At 58.8% G+C, this 19258-nt stretch overlaps 2 protein-coding genes, 1 long non-coding RNA gene and 1 pseudogene across 10 annotated transcripts in view, besides 9 other annotated features; 1 reads left to right on the top strand and 3 right to left on the bottom strand.

Annotated features, from left to right (window-relative positions):
* Positions 110-319: a silencer, noted in NCBI's record as "silent region_6120". NCBI's record gives its function as "represses an Ori minimal core promoter by ATAC-STARR-seq in GM12878 lymphoblastoid cells {active_cell/tissue: GM12878}" and the evidence as "EXISTENCE:reporter gene assay evidence [ECO:0000049][PMID:35858748]".
* Positions 340-389: a silencer, noted in NCBI's record as "silent region_6119". NCBI's record gives its function as "represses an Ori minimal core promoter by ATAC-STARR-seq in GM12878 lymphoblastoid cells {active_cell/tissue: GM12878}" and the evidence as "EXISTENCE:reporter gene assay evidence [ECO:0000049][PMID:35858748]".
* Positions 2841-7152, bottom strand: LOC105370679 (uncharacterized). Of its 6 annotated transcripts, none has more exons than XR_007064352.1 (4): positions 5644-7152; positions 4381-4817; positions 3861-3964; positions 2841-2993 (listed from the first exon to the last, which is right to left on the bottom strand). It is a non-coding gene; the product is annotated as an uncharacterized LOC105370679 (long non-coding RNA). The 6 variants fall into 6 exon arrangements; XR_007064354.1 differs by lacking the exon at positions 2841-2993 and having other exon boundaries at positions 3554-3964; positions 4381-4583; positions 4676-4817; XR_007064355.1 differs by lacking the exon at positions 2841-2993 and having other exon boundaries at positions 3554-3964; positions 4381-4572; positions 4676-4817.
* Positions 5412-6055: an enhancer, noted in NCBI's record as "H3K4me1 hESC enhancer chr14:102977477-102978120 (GRCh37/hg19 assembly coordinates)". NCBI's record gives its function as "activates a minimal SCP1, AML or CMV promoter by ChIP-STARR-seq in naive and primed H9 embryonic stem cells {active_cell/tissue: H9 hESC(naive and primed)}" and the evidence as "EXISTENCE:reporter gene assay evidence [ECO:0000049][PMID:30033119]".
* Positions 6056-6701: an enhancer, noted in NCBI's record as "H3K27ac-H3K4me1 hESC enhancer chr14:102976831-102977476 (GRCh37/hg19 assembly coordinates)". NCBI's record gives its function as "activates a minimal SCP1, AML or CMV promoter by ChIP-STARR-seq in primed H9 embryonic stem cells {active_cell/tissue: H9 hESC(primed)}" and the evidence as "EXISTENCE:reporter gene assay evidence [ECO:0000049][PMID:30033119]".
* Positions 6702-7345: an enhancer, noted in NCBI's record as "H3K27ac-H3K4me1 hESC enhancer chr14:102976187-102976830 (GRCh37/hg19 assembly coordinates)". NCBI's record gives its function as "activates a minimal SCP1, AML or CMV promoter by ChIP-STARR-seq in naive H9 embryonic stem cells {active_cell/tissue: H9 hESC(naive)}" and the evidence as "EXISTENCE:reporter gene assay evidence [ECO:0000049][PMID:30033119]".
* Positions 6702-7475: a biological region, named in NCBI's record as "H3K27ac-H3K4me1 hESC enhancer GRCh37_chr14:102976187-102976830".
* Positions 6826-6875: a silencer, noted in NCBI's record as "silent region_6118". NCBI's record gives its function as "represses an Ori minimal core promoter by ATAC-STARR-seq in GM12878 lymphoblastoid cells {active_cell/tissue: GM12878}" and the evidence as "EXISTENCE:reporter gene assay evidence [ECO:0000049][PMID:35858748]".
* Positions 7036-7475: a silencer, noted in NCBI's record as "silent region_6117". NCBI's record gives its function as "represses an Ori minimal core promoter by ATAC-STARR-seq in GM12878 lymphoblastoid cells {active_cell/tissue: GM12878}" and the evidence as "EXISTENCE:reporter gene assay evidence [ECO:0000049][PMID:35858748]".
* Positions 7419-15428, top strand: ANKRD9 (ankyrin repeat domain 9). Of its 3 annotated transcripts, none has more exons than NM_152326.4 (4): positions 7419-7666; positions 8349-8554; positions 8646-8720; positions 9253-15428. In NM_152326.4, exon 4 carries the CDS (start codon positions 9306-9308, stop codon positions 10257-10259), a length of 954 nt encoding a protein of 317 aa, NP_689539.1. In that variant the 5' UTR covers positions 7419-7666; positions 8349-8554; positions 8646-8720; positions 9253-9305; the 3' UTR covers positions 10260-15428. The 3 variants fall into 3 exon arrangements, with proteins under 3 accessions (NP_689539.1, NP_001335580.1, NP_001335581.1); NM_001348651.2 differs by having other exon boundaries at positions 8343-8554; NM_001348652.2 differs by lacking the exon at positions 8349-8554.
* Positions 8470-8631: a silencer, noted in NCBI's record as "fragment chr14:102974901-102975062 (GRCh37/hg19 assembly coordinates)". NCBI's record gives its function as "represses an EF-1alpha promoter that drives an FKBP-Casp9 reporter gene in an ReSE screen in HepG2 liver carcinoma cells {active_cell/tissue: HepG2}" and the evidence as "EXISTENCE:reporter gene assay evidence [ECO:0000049][PMID:32094911]".
* Positions 14718-19258, bottom strand: part of TECPR2 (tectonin beta-propeller repeat containing 2) — a 139537-nt gene continuing 134996 nt past the window's right edge. Inside the window, exon 20 of the mRNA NM_014844.5 lies at positions 14718-19092. Coding sequence (NP_055659.2) covers positions 18938-19092 — 155 coding nt within the window. The 3' untranslated portion in view covers positions 14718-18937. The remainder of the gene's footprint in view (positions 19093-19258) is intronic.
* Positions 15421-15519, bottom strand: RNU6-244P (RNA, U6 small nuclear 244, pseudogene; annotated as a pseudogene).

Below are 19258 nucleotides of genomic sequence, written 5' to 3'. Positions count from 1 at the left end.
GGTGGGCGGGGGGCCCGCCGAGGCCGCGGGGCGAGGGGAGAGCGGAGTGGGCACTCAGCCCGCGAACCCCGCCCCCGGGGCCAGGGCGCTGGGCGTCCCCGCCCCCGCACCCGCAGCCTGGTGCGCCCGGGTCGGGGGTCCCTCGCCCGGCTTCGGCGGAGGCTGCGGGTCGCAGTGACGTCCGCGGCCGCCAGGGGGCGGTGTCGGGCCGCGCTGGGCGCTGGGGTCGGGCTCCGGGCTGCCGCCCGCTTTCCCCTGAGCGGATGGGGATACTGAGGCCCGGACCCAGCCGTCACGGGCCAGGGCCTCGCCTCTCCCCGAGGGCGGTCGGCAGGGTCCGACCAGGGAACACCTCCGCCCCTGCAAACTCTCTCCGACCATGGCGCAGTTCAGCGGCGCTCAGTCCCCAACCCATGTCCCGGCCCCTTCCCCGCCTCGGGCCCGGAAAGTGATCTTGCGGACGCAGGGACCCGGCGGGTCGGGGCATGTGGGTAGAGGGCGCGCCCGCGCACTGGCCGCTGTCACCCTTGGGACTGCCCTGCACTGTGCGACCTGGGCCGGGCCAGGCCCTCCGGTCTCCGTTGCCCCTTCTGACTCACTGCTCTTCAAGCTGCAGCAAAGTCACAGCAGGCTTCGCCATGACCATGTCAGCCATACCCCTTCTGATGGTCACCTAGGTAGTTTCCAGGTTTTCCTTATTAAAGATGCAGCAGTGACTCTATCTCCCTAGTACTTGGTATGCACTTGTATTCTCTTCAAAGCTTTAATAATGAAATAGACATGAAATATAAGGCTGGGCGCGGTGGCTCACGCCTGTAATCCCAGCACTTTGGGAGGCCTAGGCGGGCGGATCACGAGGTCAGGAGATCGAGACCATCCTGGTTAACATGGTGAAACCCCGTCTCTACTAAAAATACAAAAAAAATTAGCCGGGCGTGGTGGCGGGCGCCTGTAGTCCCAGCTACTCGGGAGGCTGAGGCAGGAGAATGGCGTGACCCGGGGAGGCAGAGCTTCCAGCCTGGGCGACTCCGTCTCAAAAAAAAAAAAAGAAAGAAAGAAAATACAAAATTCAGCTAAATTCTTTTTTTTTTTTTTTTTTTTTTTGAGATGGAGTCTCGTTCTGTCACCCAGGCTGGAGTGCAGTGGCGCCATCTCGGCTCACTGCAACCTCTGCCTCCCGGGTGCAGGTGATTCTCCTGCTTCAGCCTCCCGAGTAGCTGGGATTACAGGTGCCCACCACCATGCCTGGCTAATTTTTTTTTGTATTTTTAGTAAAGACGGGGTTTCACCATGTTGGCCAGGCTGGTCTCAAACTCCTGACCTCAGGTGACCTGCCTGTCTCAGCCTACCGAAGTGCTGGGATTCCAGGTGTGAGCCACTGCCCCCGGCTGCTAAATTATTTTATGAAACATTAAATAATTAAGTCAGTTGAGGTGGCTCACACCTGTAATTCCAGCACTTTGGGAGGTTGAGGCAGGAGGATCGCTTAAGCTCAGGAGTTCAAGACCAGCCTGAGCAACATAGCAAGACCTGGTGTCATGTCTACAAAAATAAAAATTAAAAAATTTATTTTTTGTGTGTGGTGGCCATGTGCCTATAGTCCCAGCTACCTGGGAGGCTGAGGTGAGAGGATCACTTGAGCCCAGGAGAGTGAGGCTGCAGTGAGCTATGATTGCACCACTGCACTCCAGCCTGGGCAACAGAGCAAGACCCTGTCTCAAAAAAAAAAAAAAAAAAAAAAGCAAGAGAACAAAATCCACAGCAGTGAGCATTGTATTGTATATGTAACTTAGTACACAGGCAGGTATTCACCTGTGATAAGATGCCTACAGAAGGATCTGCCGGGCCCCCAAGCATGTGAGTTTTCCCTGCTGGTGGGGCAAGTGCCTGAGTCCTAACCCGGCCAGCACGGGCTTTCCCAGTCTACTCAGTTTTCGCCAGGAGCCTGTACACGTGCTGATTCCTGGCAAAGCTGAATGTCTATCTCCACGTGTCTGTTGGCCAGCATGTGGATAACCTATGGTGCCCTCGCCCATCTTCCCCCGGGCCGATCTTCCAGCTATGTTGGGGGCTCCCTGCACACTTGAGACGCCACTCCTTGGCTATACATGCTGGACCCTTCGGCTCCCAGGATGTCCCTTGTCTCCACTGGTTTTGTCCTGTCTTTGGTCTGTACTGGCATCCCAAAGCTGAGCCTTGAGAGACCAGCTGATGGGGCTGCAGACGCGGTGGGGCAGAGCCCAGCCTGCCACCGTAGGAGGGAGTAGTAGTGGCTCCTGGTGCAGGTGCCAGTCTTAAAGGCCAGGTGAGCTTTGGTCTGGTCTGGCCAGGCAGTGGAAGGACAGAACCTGCATGAGGTGGGGCAAGTGTTGGGACACCCCCAGGCTCTCACCCGGTCCTAGCCACTCCGCATGCTGGCCTTGCCAGTCTTGCCACATGAAACACCTTCCCTCTGACACCCAAAATCCACCTGACCCATGTCACAGATAAGTGACTGGTGCTCAGCCCAGTCCCACCACTGGTGGGTGGCTGATTAGGCGGGATCCAGCATGTCTGGTGCCAGCCCCTCCCTGAGGAAGCTGCCTGCCCTCCTGCCTGCACCTGTGGTGCCTTCCTGGCCGCGGCCACCTGTCCCATCCCAGTTGCGCAGATGGCAGGCTCCGCAGGCCTGGCTGGGTGGCAGGGGCTCAGGTCAGAGAGGATCTCAGTGTAGTCAGCAAATGAAGCCCTCTCCTCCAGCCCCCTCCCCACCATCCACCCCTTCCTATTCTCAGCAGATGGCCTTGAAAATAGAAGCCACCAGAGCAGATGTCTCCGAGCACCTTTACCTGTGCCCTCCTCTGTGTCTGTGCCCAACATGCTGCCCCCCCCCAAGAAGAACTGCCCATGTCGCCAGCCCAGGGTACCCCTCACGTGTGGCAGGCCCCACTCCAGCCGGCCTCCTCCAGGTTATCAGCTGGCCTGCATCGTCAGCGTTTTTGCCCATCAGCGCACTGCACACATAATGGACACACAGGACACACAAATGCAGGCTGCAGCATGCTGCCCACGCACACGCATGCACACACAGCGTGCCGCCCATGATGCACAGATGCATGTGTGGGCCTACCCACGTGTCTGAGTGCACATACATGCATGTGCACGTGTGTTATCTCCACCGTTTCATTCTTTAAGCCTGCCCCTTCCTCTCCTGTCCTCACAGCTCTATCCCGCTCCCCGCTTGCTCCTGAACTCTCTCCAAACAGGTTTCTCCCCTAACCCCATGACATTCTGTAAAGGGCACTGTGACCTATGGACCGAGTTTTGCTCTTGTTGCCCGGGCTGGAATGCAATGGCGCGATCTCAGTTTACCGCAACCTCCCGCCTCCTGGGTTCAAGCGATTCTCCTGCCTCAGCCTACCGAGTAGCTGGGATTACAGGCATGCACCACCAGGCCTAATTTTGTGTTTTTAGTAGCGACAGGGTTTCACCATGTTGGTCAGGCTGGTCTTGAACTCCTGACCTCAGGTGATCTGTCCGCCTCGGACTCCCAAAGTTCTGGGATTACAGGTGTGAGCCACCACATCTGAATCTGTCCCAGCCGACCGCTCCCTTATTTTTGGGACACCTTGGCTTCGGGAAGCCCTGTGCCTTCTTGGCCCCAAGACCCTCTCCCACCTCCTTTCCTGGAAGCCCCGGCTGGGGCCTCGGGCCTCTCACCTCCCATCCCTGGTGCCTCACACTCCAAGCGCCCTCTTTATACTCATGACCCCATCTCCAGGGCCATGGACACCTCTTGGCTCTGCCATCTTCCAGGTGCTCAGCTTTCCCCTAATACCCGGGAGGCCTCCTAGATTCTCCTCTTCTGCTCACACCCTCACCTATAGGTCAGGGGCCTGGCAGGAGGCGGCACTTCTCTCCAGGGACCCCTGGTGCCCTCCGCCTGCTCCAGCACAGTTGGCTTCAGTGGCTGCGGCCTCTCCGTCTCCCTGCAGTGCATACTCAACTAGAGTTGTCGAGAAAACCTAAGCCGGCCATACCACCCCTCCGAGGGCCCTTCCCACTCCCCAGCGTCCTCACACACTTTCCGGGGCCTCTGTGCTTGCAGCCCCAGCCTCCCCCTACTGCCTGTGGCTCCCTGCCTGGGCACACACAGACCCCTGCCCTGGTGGGACAAGCCCTCCCAGAGGAAGAGGAGTGTGCCTGGGTCAGGTCCCAGCAGGAGCATGATGGGGTCAAAGGTCAACTCCTATCCCAAGATGGCAAGACCCCCCTCCGCCCTCCACCTGGGGCTTCCTAGGTGTTTGGAAGTCATGCTCTGCCCATTCCCCTGCCCCAGCCACCCTCCCCGCAGCCCATCCTCCCTCCCTGAGGAACCTGCCCCTTCACAGCTGTTCACACGTCCCTGGGCAGCCTCTAGTGCAGCAGCGATGCCATGAAACCACCGTGGAGGGCACCATCAGCCTTGGCACTGCTGCCTTAGGAGGTGCAGCATGTCCACACTCATGCCCACAGGGGACAGCTTTCATCAGAAGACACTGCAGCAGAGATGGCGGCTGCAACCCAAAGCAGGGGGTTCCCCTGGGGCTGGATCTAAAAGTGACCTCAGGAGAAAAAGGCAAGAGGCTGAGGTGAGGCAGTGCTGTGGAGCCCCATGGCAGGGAGTGTTACTATGTCTGCTGCCACTTGCACTTACAGTGGGAAAGACGCACGCGGACTCACACTGAGGCTGGCTGGGGAGGGAGGGGACAGGCACGCAGGGCTTCCGATCTGCCGTGTGTTGCTCCTTCAACTGGGTCCCGGGCTCCCAGGCATCATGATGCTCTTTGTATGTGTGTCTAAAATAATTCACTAGTGAAACCACTTCCCAACCCCTCCACTTGGGCCTCAGGGGAAAATCCAGGATCCTTGCCGGGCATTCCAGGCCCCATGGGACCTGGCCAGTCAGGTGGCCTCTGCAGCCTTTGTGTCACACTCCAGACCTTGGCCCCTGCTTTGCCCTCTGCCAGAAATGCCTCTTTCTGCCCATCTGGACTTTGTGGCTATGTCCATGTCCACAGGAAGCTTCTAGGCAGCAGAGAAACAGGGTCAGACTTGGCTTTTAGAAAAAGGTCTCTGGGGCAGGCAGATCACTTGAGGCCAAGAGTTCGAGACCAGCCTGGCCAACATGGCAAAACCCCGTCTCTACTAAAAATACAAAAACTAGCTGTGAGTGCTGGTGCATGCCTGTAATTGCAGCTACTTGGGAGGCTGCAGCATGACAATTGCTTGAACCTGGGAAGTGGAGGTTGCAGGGAGCTGAGATTGCACCACTGCACTCCAGTCTGGGTGACAGAATGAGACTTTGTCTTGGGAAAAAAAAAAACCCTCTGGGATCCCCAGTGAGGAGGGCAGGTCAGGGCACGGGGGCAGGGAAGACATCAAGGGGTGGAGAGAGACCCGCCCTGAGGCCCAGTGCACAGCCTGGCATCCACTGGTGCCCTTTCACCCTCATTCCACCAGTAGCCATGGAGACGGCTGTATCTCAACTCCAGCCTTCGAAGAGGGCAAGAGAGCAGGGGAGCCTTGAGCCACAGACAGCCCACATGGGCACCATCTCCCCAAGATGTCCCCCAGGGTTTGGGCTCCCAAAGGCCGATTGTTGACTCCAGGACCTTCACTCACTTTGCTCTCCCCACCATCGTACTCAGAGGCATCCAGAACCGGCAGATGGGAGAAGCCCTAGGGAGATAGGCCTAGATACAGGAGGAGACATGTGGAGCTGAGGCAAAGGCGGGTGCGGATGCCAGGCCCAGTGCCCTCTATACCCCTACTCCTGCTGACAACCTGGCTGCTGTAAGCTTGGCAGTTGCCATGGACTCCCTGGGAGAGATGGCGTGGCCTGGAACGTCCCCCGCCCTGAGGTGGGGCAGGGCTGGTGGGGTCTGGTCATCCCCCTGGTGGGTCCATGCATGGCAGCCTGGGCAGGATACATGTGAGTGCCTACCTGGGCTGGGGTGGCCTGACCCTCTCTGGGCCTCACAGCTTTGTCTGCCTCATGGTACTGTCCACCTGGCCTCTCAGGACTGCTCTGTGGCGTGTGTGCTTAAGGGATTGAGCTCGTTGGGCTGGGGACAGAGGCCTGCCTAGGTCTGTTGAGAGGGCCCAGGTAAGACTTCCACCCAGACTGACTGGCTGGGGCACACAGAGAAGCCAGGACAGGGCTGATTGTGTGTGCAGGGGCGTGCCCTCTGGACGAGGCCCCTCCCACCGGGGCGAGGCAGAGGCCTTGCTTGGTTGGAGCGGAGTGGGGGAGTGGGAGGGTCTCCCTGGTGAGATAGTACTGGAAGGGCAGGGACAGCATTCTAGGGAAGGAACCAGAAAGAGCCCCTGCATGGAATGTGGGGATTTCACCATGAGACCCCGGCTGCCTGGCCTCTGAGAACGTGTGTGGGGGGATTCCAGGTGGAAGGTCGTGTCTGGGAGGATGGGTGGGGGGTTGAGCAGTCATTGCCCCTCTCCAGATCTGCGTCCACATCTGTAAAATGGGCCTAGAATTCCCAGCCGCTGGGGGCGAGTGAGGCCATAAATTAGTTGAGATGGACCCAGGCTCCTAAGCCCCCTAGGTCATGACCCCAAACCTTGGAACCCCCGACGGAGACGGTGGGGGTGGCCGAGGCCCAATCGAATCTATCCCGCCCAGATGTGGGAAGAACCGCAGGGCAAACCCCCGGCTTCCCTCCTGGCCGCTCCTCTCTTTGAGGCCACCTCTCTGAGCCCTGATTTGCTGGCGGGTGAACTGGGGATCATCGTGTCCACTGTGGCTGGTGGTCGTGAAACGAAGTGGAAACATGAGTGTTGAGGCCGAGATGGGCGCAGTGCGCGCTCCTAAACAGCTGTCCCCATCCGTCCGCCCCTCCCTCCCTTGCGCGGGTCAGCTGGAGCGGGGGCGCGCCAGGCACGACCCTGGCCGGGCAGAAGGCGGTGGAGCCCTTAGGGGTCGCGGCTCCTACCCCCGGCCCTCCCATGTGCAGATGGGGTAGCAGCCTGGAGGTTTTTCCCAAGGTCACGTAAGGTCAAAGAAAAGGGGAGCTGGACGCGACGAGGAAAGTCACGCACGGCGGAGGGCGGGCCACCTACGCGCGCGCCCGAGTTCGCAGAGCAGCGGCGCCCTCCCGGGCTAGGGCAGCTCGGAGCTCGGAGCCTTTCTTCGCCCGCAGCTCGGGTTCCGGGAGCCCCGCCCCCGCCCATCAACGCCCCGCCCCTTTCGCCACGGCCCCGCCCCTCCTCTCCGTTCTCCCCGCCGGCGCTCCCTCAAGTTTCTCCGAAGTTTTCCGCGGGTCCAGCGGTGCGCCCCGCCCGCCGGCCAGTGACGTAACAATGGTGCAGCGCGGCGGCCAATGGGTGGTGGCGGGGGCCGGCGGCGCGGGCCAATGGCGGCGGCGGACGGTCCCGCTGTCCTGCCTGGCCGGGGCCGCACTGCGCCGCCCGCCGCCCGCCGCCCGCCGCCCGCCGCCGGCGACGGCACCGCCGCCCTGCGATCCGGCCGCGGCGGCTCAGAGCGCGGCTGCGGCGGGCGCGGGCGGCGGTGGCTCCCTCCCGTGCGTCCGTCGTGGGACCTTTGCCCGCTCGCCCGCGGGGGACAGCGCGCGCTCCGGTCCGCGGCAGGGGCGGGGACGCCCGGCCTGTGGCCCCCGCGCCCCCCATGGTGAGTCCCCGTCCCCCGCGCCGCGCCCGCGGCCGCCGCCCCCTCCTCCTCCGGCACACGCGCACGCAGGTGCAGCCCTCGCTGCGCCGGCCACCTGCGCGCGGACGCCCCGCTCGGCCCCGCGACCCTCCGCCGCCCGACGTCTGGCCGTGCAGGCCGGGAGGGGACGGGTAGGAGGTGGCGGGTGGCCCCGGGCGCGGCGCTGCCTTCGATGGCCCAACCCCCTTATTCACGAGCCGCGGCCGTGACTCTGCCCGGTGACGTGGGGAGGCCGAACTTTACGTAACCCGCCCGGCGCCCCACGCGTGCCGGCACAGGGCATATCTGGGGCCCGGAGGCCCAGGCTTGGGGAAGGGGCTCCAGTCACGGTGTTGCCCACGGGCCACAGCCTACCCGCACCGCGCCGCTCTCTTTAACTCAGTTACTGCCAGTGATAGTGACCCAGTCAGTGTGTGTGGACGCGGCCTGCCTTCTGTCCCAGGCCCCTTGTGACCAAGGGCTTACCCTTGAAAGAAGGCAGTAGGGAGGTTGGGACGGAGCCAGAGGTCAGACGCCTAGGCTCAGGTCGGGGCTGGGGACTCAGAGGGCAGGGTCAGGGCCTAAGCTCGATTGCCTGTGGGTTGGGGGTCCCCACCAATTCTGGAATGAGCCCAAACTGAGACGCAGGGGACCTGAGTTCTAGGCCTGGCTCTGCCGTGGCTTGCTGACCTTGGAGAATTGGAGAAGCTTGTGCCCTGCTGGAAAGTGGGATGGCAGTACCCGCTTCATCTAGTAGTCGGGGAGATCAAGAGAGGTATGGGACCTGAAGAGGATGGCAGACTGTGCAGTGCGGTGCACACCGGTCTCCAGGTTGTTTTCACCCTCCTATCTCCTCCCAGGAGCTAACGTGTAAGCAAACATGTTTGGATAGAGGGCTGGTGCCACGCCCCAGGCTCACCCCGCCCGCACAGCCGTCGTCCACCCCTCCCCTTTCTTACAGATAAAGCTGAGGCTCGGCCAGGGACTGTGATATACCCACATCCCCGGAACTAGGTGATCGCGGTGCAGGAACCAGGTAGGTCTGAGTCTGGATCATGCCTCTGAACAGCCCAGGAAGAGGCTCCAGGGGCCTCCAAGTGGTCTGGGGTCGGAGATCAGGGTCAGGGTTGCGCTTGGGCTGGAGAGTGGATTTGCCTCAGCTTGAGATGTGGGCCCAAGCTTTCTCATCCCCTCCCTGGCCTTTTCTTTATTTGGGGTCGTATGAACCTGGCTTAGGTGGGAACAGAAGCTCTTCCAGTGGGTCCCTGGGTTGGAGAGGGGAGGGGAGATTTGAGGGCATGGGCAGCAAGGGCATTTCCAGCAGAGGTGCCAGAGAGCAAGTCAGTTTCAAGGAGGGAGAACAGGTACAGCTAGATCAAGGATGGAGGCGGTGGTTCTGGGCGTCGGAGAGATGGAGCTGTAGGGTGACTGGAAGGGCCTGGCCGAGGCTGGAGGTAGGTACAGGCCTGGTGGGCCAGGACCGGAGGGGCTGTGTGAGGGGCAGAGGGGAGTCCCCGGGCCTCCCCAGTTTCCCCGCGCCTCACCGTGGCCTCTTCCTTTCCCCGCAGGTGTGCCTTCGCGGGATCCATGCCTTGAGGCCCAGGAACGCCCCGCCGCCAGCATGCCGTGGGACGCGCGGCGGCCTGGGGGTGGCGCGGACGGCGGGCCCGAGGCCTCGGGCGCGGCGCGCTCGCGAGCGCAGAAGCAGTGCCGCAAGTCGTCGTTCGCCTTCTACCAGGCGGTGCGCGACCTGCTACCCGTGTGGCTGCTGGAGGATATGCGCGCCAGCGAGGCCTTCCACTGGGACGAGCGCGGGCGCGCCGCCGCCTACTCGCCCTCTGAGGCGCTGCTCTACGCGCTCGTGCACGACCACCAAGCGTACGCGCATTACCTGCTGGCCACGTTCCCGCGGCGCGCGCTCGCACCGCCCAGTGCCGGCTTCCGCTGCTGCGCGGCTCCCGGGCCGCACGTGGCGCTGGCAGTGCGCTACAACCGCGTGGGCATTCTGCGCCGCATCCTGCGCACCTTGCGCGACTTCCCGGCCGAGGAGCGGGCGCGCGTGCTGGACCGGCGTGGCTGCAGCCGCGTGGAGGGCGGTGGCACGTCGCTGCACGTGGCCTGTGAGCTGGCGCGCCCCGAGTGCCTCTTCCTGCTGCTGGGCCACGGCGCCTCGCCCGGTCTGCGGGACGGCGGCGGCCTCACGCCTCTCGAGCTGCTGCTGCGCCAGCTGGGCCGCGACGCCGGGGCCACTCCCTCCGCCGCCGGAGCCCCCGCCTCAGCTCCCGGGGAGCCGCGCCAGCGCCGCCTGCTGCTGCTGGACCTCCTGGCGCTGTACACCCCCGTGGGTGCCGCCGGCTCGGCCCGCCAGGAGCTGCTGGGCGACCGGCCGCGCTGGCAGCGGCTGCTGGGTGAGGACAAGTTCCAGTGGCTGGCGGGCCTGGCGCCGCCCTCGCTCTTCGCGCGCGCCATGCAGGTGCTGGTCACCGCCATCTCTCCAGGCCGCTTCCCCGAGGCCCTGGACGAGCTGCCGCTGCCCCCATTCCTGCAGCCGTTGGACCTCACTGGCAAAGGCTAGGCCCGGAGCACCCTAGGCGCTGGATTTTGGGACAAAACTATTTTTCAGAGCGTTGTACCGGCACTTTATATATATTGATCTCTGTACGGCACAATCTCTGCCTCATCTGTCGCATGCACTGGGGGCTGGGCTTGGATGGTCAGGTGAGTTCCAAGTGGCAGGTTTTCTGGGTGCAGCTGGGCTCGGGCCTTCAGCTCGCTGTCCAGCCCCTGAAGGGAGTGAGGACTAACCTCCCACCTTGATCTAGAGCCTCGGACAGGTGTGCGTCCCAGATGGGTGACAGCTGAGTGCCGCAGGAGCTCGGTAGGTGCAGGGGTGGGGACTGGCATGTCCAAGCAGCAGGACAGCGTATAAAAAGGCCTGGAAGCCAAGAGAACGAGCTCTGCAGCGTAGGGTTCTCACGGGAGGTCCTGTGCGGTCAGCCTTTTGCACCCTGTGGACTCCGGGCCAGGGAGGGCACACAGGGCTGGCAGGCCCGCGGTGGCTGGTGTTGAGGCATGAACAAATTGTACCGGGTATCCCCCACCCCACTCTGACCACCAGTTCCTCCTTGGATATCACTCCCCCTGACAGGCAGCCCACCCAGGCCTGGATTTGTCCCTGTCTCCCCCTTTTGCTTTTCCCCCATGACTAATGGGCACCAGGTCTTGCTGCTCCTGCTTCTCACCTCTGCAGTGGCAGCAGGCCCCTGGCCCCAGGTGCATGCCGGTCAGTGGGGTTGGATGTGCCTTCCTCCAGGCCTGCCCTCTGTCCAAGCCCGGAGTGGGCTTGGTGGGCTCCCTGGTGGCCCCCAGTGGGTGCCAGGTGGTGCCCGGGGTTATTGAGGGGTGGTTGTATCACTGTAGGGACAGGCTTCTTGCCCCAGCCTGGAGAGCTGTTTTCTTCAGGAAGGTTCTGGAGATGGAGACTTGTTTGCGAATTCACCACAACTCCAGGCTGGGAGGCTGGGTCTCCGCTCTCAGAGCCGAGACACCAGGGAGGATAGCCAGGCTGCCCTGCCTGGGAATTCTGCTGGGCCGTCAAATTCAACCCGCACCAACGTGGGCAGGAGGGCCACAGTGTCCTGCCAGGAGCAGAGGGCTGAAGGTCTGCAGGAGGAAGAACCACTATCCTGGTGGGGGGCACCTGCTGCCCACCCTGCCCCCAGCGTGCCTGGGGGGAGCACACCTGGGCATGGAGGAGTCCAGGGTGCTGGGCCACACAAGAGAGGTGGGGGAGAGGCCTGGACAGTAGGAAGATCTTGCCCAGGGTCCTGGATCCGCCACTCTGGGGGTGACCTTGGACAAACCTCTGCCTTGGCCCTCAGTCTCCCCATCAAGGTTTTTCCATTCAGGAGGTTTTGGGCCATCTTCAGCCACCCTACCAGCCCTGAAAAGGATGTGACTCCTGTTTCTGGGAAGTGTGTGGTGTGTTAGGTGGGCCTACAGCCCTGGTTGTGGGGAGGGAAGGATGGAGAGACAGCACAGTGACAGAGCCCAGACTGCAGGCTGGAGTGAGGGTTCCACTTCCCCGCTGCTGTGTGTCCTGGACCAGTGCCTCTGAACCTTGGCACTTGGGGCAGTGGATATTAACATCTTTCCAAGCCCAATTCTTGGGGCATCAGGGCCTCCGGTCCTCTGGGAGGTGGCAGGTCCTCAGATTGGAGATGCCATGGGGGGGGGAGGTGCCTCTCCTTTGGAGGGTATGGAAGTGGAGACAGGAGTGGCCTGGCGCAGCTGCCGTGGTTCTTAGGGGCTGGGCCCGGGGAGCCCATGGGGCTTGTGCCTAGAAAGCCTGGGCTCCTCACTGGGGTCTAGATGTGCAGACTTCATGTCTCCCCAGCTCCAGCTCTGTTCTCTATAGGTCAGCCTCCACAATGCCAGAGGCCCAGGGCTAGCCCCCTCCACGTCCCTCCTAGATCTACAGCTGCCCCTTTGATGACAGCGCCATTGAGTCCCCTGGGCTGGGGGGGTCATGCAGGGGTGAGGCAGCTGCCTGCCGCCGGTACTCATTGCCTGGCCAGGCAGGACACAGGCTGGCGGGCACTGAGAGTGGGCCCCACGAAATCCATTGTCAGGTTACCAGGATGAAGAACCCAGGCTGGTCGTGGAGTGCAGGGCGGGGCCTGCCGGAAGAATTATGGGCACTGCAGCAGGAGGGCAGCCTGGGCCATTAGCTCCTGATGTCATCGATTTGGGTGAGGGGACAGGGAAGTCAGAGGAAGCTGGCCAGTGGCTCTCACGAAGACTTACAGCAGCGGAGTGGTGCCTGATTCCTAGTACAGCTGCTCCCACTGAGTCTCCAGGGATCTGTGGTTCAGGACCCCCTGCAACCCCCTCCCAGACCCCTGTACTGGTGGGAGGAGAGGACCTAGAGGAAAGGTGCTGGGCAGATAAGCAGCCGAGGGAGGCCCTGGGTTTAGCTTATCAGTCTTCTGGGCCCTCCTGCCCCAGGAAGGGCAGCGAGGACCATGGTGTTGCCCCTGTCATCGTTATCGTCCTGGCCATGAGCTTGCAGGACTGGGAGGGCCGGAGTCAGCCAGGCAGACGGCAGCACAGCATTTGCCTGTTGGCAGGTGGCCTTGGTGGCTTCCCAAAGGCAATCGCTCCACGCAGAACAAAACTCACTTTTTTGGGGGGTGAAGCACCTTGGTTCATTTGTTTAGTTCGTTAATTCCAGCAGTCTGTTTCTAAGGGAAACATGGCTGCAGCCGGTCCTGCCCCTCCACCCACCCACCAGGTGCCCAGTGTTCCCAAGGGCCCCGAATCCCAACCTTATTCAGGCGTCAGCATCTCTGCACCCCAAATGCCTGTTAGGGAGGATAGTGAAGGCTGAGCCCTCCTGGGCTCATCAAAAGCCAGCAGTGAGAGAACACCCCCATCTCTCTGAGGTGACCTTGTAGGGCAGTCCGTGCTGTCTGGCTGGCCTGGGTGAGGTGGGCAGGGACCAAGGCCTGGCGCCTGGGCCTCGCTGGCCTTGCTCTGCGTGCTGACTTCATCCTGATAGTACCTTGATTTTCCTACTGTGACTTCCCCTTCTGTCGACTTCCTCACCAACTTTAAAATTCCGTATTGAGAGCAGTTTCCTAAGTTACCTCAAATCCTATTCAGAAGAAGGTTCTTCCTGGAAGTTGGGAGGGCGGAAAACAAGTTTAGTCACAGAAGACTACTCCATGTTTGAGCTTCTGTTTCAAGGGAAGTGAGTAACTGCCGGAGGAGCCCTGCCCCTCTGCAGTGTGTGGTGTTGCCCTGATACTTTTCAGATTGAGGTGTTACTTACATGTAATAAAATGCACAGACTTAAGTGTATACTTTGATGAGTTCTGATGAATGTCTACATGTGTGTAATCACCACTGCAATCAAGATGGAAGGAAAGGCTGGGCGCGGTGGCTCACACCTGTAATCCCAGCACTTTGGGAGGCCAAGGTGGGTGGATCATGAGGTCAGGAGTTCGAGACCAGCCTGACCAACATGATGAAACCCCGTCTCTACTAAAAATAAAAAAATTAGCCAGGCGTGGTGGCAGGCACCTGTACTCCCAGCTACTCAGGAGGCTGAGGCAGGAGAATTGCTTGAACCCAGGAGGCGGAGGTTGCAGTGAGCCAAGATTGCGCCATTGCACTCCAGCCTGGGCGACAGAGCAAGACTCCATCTCAAAAAAAAAAAAAAAAAAGATGGAAAGACAGATTTCTATTGGTGATTCTTAAAAGTAATTTATTTATTTATGTATTTATTTATTTATTTGAGATGTAGTCTTGCTCTGTCATCCAGACTGGAGTGCAATGGTGTGGTCTCAGCTCACTGTAACTTCCGCCTCCTGGGTTCAAGCGATTCTCCTGCCTCAGCCTCTGGAGTAGCTGGGATTACAGGCGCTGGCCACCACGCCCGGCTAATTTTTGTATTTGTAGTAGAGACTGGGTTTCAGCATGTTGGCCAGGCAGGTCTCGAACTCCTGACCTTGTGATCCGCCCGCCTCAGCCTCCCAAAGTGCTGGGGTTACAAGTGTGAGCCACTGCGCCTGGCTCTTAAAAGTAATTTCTTTCTGCTTATAAAATTCATGTTCACTGTAGAACACTGGGGATTGAGTAGAGAGGTCCGGCCACGATGCAGGGAAACACTGTCTCAAGCGCCCCACCGCCCCACATGGTCCCCAGAGACAGGGCCCCTAAGCGCTCACGTACAAGTAAAGGCGCTGACTGAGTGCGTCATCTGCACGCATACAAGCACTGCTAGCATTCTGGCATATGTTTCTTTCAGCTTTTTTCTGTGCAGATATATATTACATTTTTTTCTGTGTATATTTATATATATATGAAACCAGATCAGTTACACAATTTAGTATTTTTTTAACCTTAATGTAGTATAAGCATTTCCCCCATTGTACTTTGTAAATATGATTTTTAAGAAGTCATTGGTGTCTACTTTGTGATATTTGACTCAACCAGCCTTGATAACAAAGAGTAGTTAGAGACAACTGAATTTTTAAAATGTAAATCTGCTTTATTTTTGGAATAAATAATACATTTACATGGCTGGAAATTCAAAGGATACAAAAAGGCATATACTCCAGGCAACCACTATGACCAGCTGCTGATCACAAGTAGAGAACTTGTTTCTTTTCACCCCTCTTGCTCCTCCCCGGAGTTATGAAAAATTTCAAACCTGCCAAAAGTTTGAAGTTTACAACAAATACCCTCCAACGTTTGGGTTGTCTCCCTCCCCCTTCTCTCCCTTTCTCCCTCTGATTTCTTACAGAACCACGCTTTCATGACCATGCCCGGGAACTTCACGCTGGCGCGGTGAGGTCCTGCGCCTCCGCTTCCTGCACACACGTGCTTCTTAATAGCTGCAGGCTATTTCATGAGAGGAATTTGCTCACGTTAACATGGCTGTTCCCAAATGCCAGGCTGTTTTAAGTGTTTCCTAATTATAAACAGGCTGTGCTGTTTCCCTTGACCTAGGACTTGTTCTTGAGGACAGAAGTGGAGGTGGCGAGATGCAAGGCCTACGTACGGACCGGCTTCCCCAGTAGGGCGGCGCCAATGGGGGGCTCCCAAGCTGCTCCCATCTCACCTCTGCTTCCGGGGTGCTGGGGGTTTGGGCCAGTGTTCCTTCTGCTTTTGTGAAGGGCCCTTACACTCGACTCGAAGTGCTCCTCCTATTGGTTTTTAATAAATATATTTATGGAAAGCTTTATGAATTTGCGAGTCATCCTTGTGCAGGGGCCATGCTAATCTCTGTATCGTTGCAATTTTTGTATACATGCTGCTGAAGGGCGCACTCCTCTTATTGTTGTATAGGTTTTTAAGGTAAATATTCAACATCAATTCCCATTTGTTGCAATTATTTCCCTTCTTTGAGGTTTTTAATTTGCAGCATTTTTACATTTATTTCCTTCTATTTATTTATTTTTGAGAAACAAGGTCTTGCTCTGTCGCCGAGGCTGGAGTGCAGTGGTGTGATCATAGTTCATTGCAGCCTCAAACTCCTGGGCTCAAGTAATCCTCCTGCCTTGGCCTCCCAAGTAGCTGGGACTATAACTGCACATCACTGTGCCCAGCAGCATTTCTGTATTTTGGAGAAATCAAATCTATGTACTTATTTTCCTCTGTAGCTTGTCCTATCACTTTTGAGTTTAGAAAGCCTTTGCCATCCAGAAATCAGACAGTTTTCCCACTGGTTTTAGATTCTTTAATCCATTTAATATTATTTTGCCCAGAGAATGAAGCAGTGGCCACATTAGTTGTGACACCCCCCATGCCCCGCCCCCGCCGCTCCTTAAGCGCATCTGAGATGCCCTCTCCATTCTGCTCCCTCCCTGTGGGCCTTGCTAGCCTGTTGCCTGGCCCTCCGAGGGTCTGGGCCATGCCATTCAATAGAGTGGCCCCTGCTGGGGCTCCACCTGTCATCACTTAGCAGTTCTCACCCGTTTCTTCTTCCCAGGAGTGACGGGACAGTGAGGAGGCATCAAACAGCACAGGTCTGCAGTTCTACAGAGCTGGCTTCCAGTCCCAGTGCTGTGTGACCTTGAGCAAGTTACCTAACCTCTCTGAGTCTCAAGGGGCTAATGAGACTTCCCCTTGCAGGGCTCTGGTGAGAAGCACATTGGGCACAGTCATGGGCATTTGTGGGTACTAACATTATTCCTCCCTGCCTGCCCCAACAAAACAATCCCAGTGGGGATTTGAACTGAAATCAAGCTACACCTATAAATTCCTTTGGAAAGAATGAGGTCTTTCCATAATGTGTGTAGTCCTCCATCCAGGAATGTGGAACATATCTTCCTTTATTCAAGTTTCCTTTTATGCCTTCTGGAAAGCTTTGCTGCTCTTCACACGGCCTGAGGTTTCTTGCTGAGGTCATTTCCTGGCACATGGTGTGTCCTGCTGCTGTGCTGGGCGTCATCTTTTGCGTGTGCTGGTTTCCAGCAGCTCTGGTTTGCGATATGGTTTCGTTTGCTGGCTGAAGATACAGAACCAGGGGCTCGAACCCCTCCAACGCCTGCTCACACACAGCTCCATGAGGAGGCAGCCCTGGACCTCACCCCACAGCGTCCTCCTCAGAGGCTACCATGGGGTACAGCCAGCTCTGGAGCGGCCATTCCCCCATAACAGCCACTTGGGCAAACCGGTGTGTATTTCAACACCAGCCAGGCCAGGACAGGTCTGCTGACGCACTCTCCCTGTGGTGGGGCTGGGCTGGCAGGTTCTCCCTTGCACTGCCCTCGTGAGTGTCGGCTGAGGACACTTCTCACAGCTCAGGCACCACACTCGGCCAGGTTTGGAAAAAGTCTAGTTTATTGCACTGACTCAAAGCACAACTAAAAATTAAAACCAGAAAGAAAACTGTACAAAGCACGAAGCTACAACTTTAAAAGCATCACCTAGACGCGGGTTTAATTGCACTACAGTCCCATGGGTGAGGAGAGCTTTGCCATCCGTGAGGCGCCGGGCAAGGCACAACAGACACAGAGAGATGCAGCCCGGCCTGGGGCTGCCTCTGCTGCCACCAACTTTTACAAAAGGTTCTAGAAAAGGGAAGTGTGAAGTCAGATCTGGGATTTCGGCATCTTGACCTCATTTGGACATGGAAAACCTCCACCTATGTGGCTGGCTGGGTCCTGTCAGAGAACATATTTTATCACCCTCCACCTGCGGCCTGGGGGCTCCCTGACACCAAGGACTGGGCCTGGGCCAGGGGCAGGCTAAAAAAAGCAGCCAGCCTGGTGTCCTGTCCTGAAGCTGCCTCCGGGAGGGGGCGGGATGTGTGGCAGGGCGGCCTAGCCCTCACACGCAGATGCCAGTGGGCGGGGTGGGCACTGCCCATTGTCTGAAGGGGCCACAGCAGCCGTCCATAGAGGCACTGGTTTCAACCTGTCAAGTGTCAACCCATACCCCGCAGAAGGCATGGGCTGCCACTCGGAGCCAGCCCGCAGGTCCCGTGACCGCCCTGCCAGTCAAGTCTGTGCGGGGATGCCTGCCCCTCTGAGGCTGCAGGCGAGGACAGTGCAGGCTCAGGACAAACCCGGGAAGGAACAAAGGGCTTCCACTGTTTTCGGAAAACATATCTCTCTTCTAAATTTGTAAGATTTGATTTGAAATGAGGTATTTTATGCAGATTTGTAATACAACAACAAAGGCAATAATTAGTAGACTCGTCCTCTGAGGATGCATCTGGTTTTAGGATGTCCGCCAGCAGCATTAGTTAAACACCATTCCAAAGACATTTCTAAGTGAGCGACCCTTGCTCAGCTCCCCCACGCCCCATGCACCCTCCTGTGCCGTCCCTACCTGGGACACACGTGCACACATCCAGGTTCCATTTGCACCCATCAGGCTTTACTGTTTCAGCTGAAGTGTGCTCTCCAGGAGGCGGGCAGCCTGCGCCGTGTGTGGGCAGTGAGGTGTGGTGTGGTGTGGTGTGGTGAGATGTGGCGAGGTACGGTGCGGTGCGGTGCGGTGCAGTGCGGTGTGGGGTGTGGTGTGTTGTGTGGTGAGGTGTGCTGTGGTGTGGTGAGATGTGGTGAGGTATGGTGCAGTGCGGTGTGGTGTGGTGAGGTGTGCTGTGGTGTGAGGTGAGGTGTGTTGTGTGTTGTGGTGTGCATGTGCGTGGGTTCTCTCCTGGCATGGCCAGCGCTCTCCTCTCAAGCCCGGCCTCAGCTTCCTGGCCAGAGCGTCTGGCATGGAATGTGCTCTGCAGCTTTGTCTCTGGGGGGACACCCCCCTATGATGGGACAAAGCCATCACCGAGCACATCCCGCGCTGCAGAGAGCTGACCTTTGGCTCCATCTGGCCCTGGGGCTACTAATGTGGAAGGAGGCCCTGGGCCAAACCAGCTGCCCGGCTACCCTTGGTTCTGGGAGGCCTCCGGAGACCACTCCCACCAACAAAAGCTGGAGCTATCTGTGGATGAGACCAGGACGGCAGCACGTGGGTAATCGGAGTGCATGCAGCCGGGCAGTCGCCACTGTCCTGAGCTAGGAGGCGCCACTGCTGCAGCAATCACGCCAGCCACGGGTGGAGGCTGTGGGTTCTGGAACGAGACAGAAACCAACATAGATGAAAGTAAGTGTGCGGGTCCAACCTGGCCAGAGGTGTCTGGACAAGTGTTGAGGCAGCGCGTCCACCAGGGAGTCACTCTGAAGCCCCTGTGCCCGCCACAGACGCCGGGCCCCTCCGCGTGACTCGGCCAGGGCTCCTTCAGATGACCTCCCACTCGTCCTCCAGGTCCTCAGGGTGGGGCATGGCGGCCTGGCTGCTCTTCTGGGTGCCGTGCGAGTGGCTGAACGTCTTTGTCAGCCGTTGGAGGAGGTAGCCGGGCGGGCCCACAGCCCACAGCTCATCTGACGCAGTCACTGCAGGGACAAGAGCCAATCACATACTTGTCAATCACACAGCCTGTGGGGTGGGCACAGATGGAGCTGGGAGCTTGGGCGCAGGTCTGGGCTTGCCACATTCTAGGTGGGGGACACTGGACAAGCCACCATCTCCATGTGAACTTCGTACCCTCAGCTGTAAGTG

This window comes from Homo sapiens, chromosome 14, assembly GCF_000001405.40.
Source record: "Homo sapiens chromosome 14, GRCh38.p14 Primary Assembly".
Classification (NCBI taxonomy): Eukaryota; Metazoa; Chordata; class Mammalia; order Primates; family Hominidae; genus Homo; species Homo sapiens.
Note: the sequence above shows the minus strand (reverse complement) of the source record. Positions and strands in the feature narration are given on the sequence as shown.

Excerpts from the sequence above, each read along its gene's own strand:
- ANKRD9 (NM_001348652.2), top strand. The coding sequence starts at position 9,306 with ATGCCGTGGGACGCGCGGCGGCCTGGGGGTGGCGCGGACGGCGGGCCC.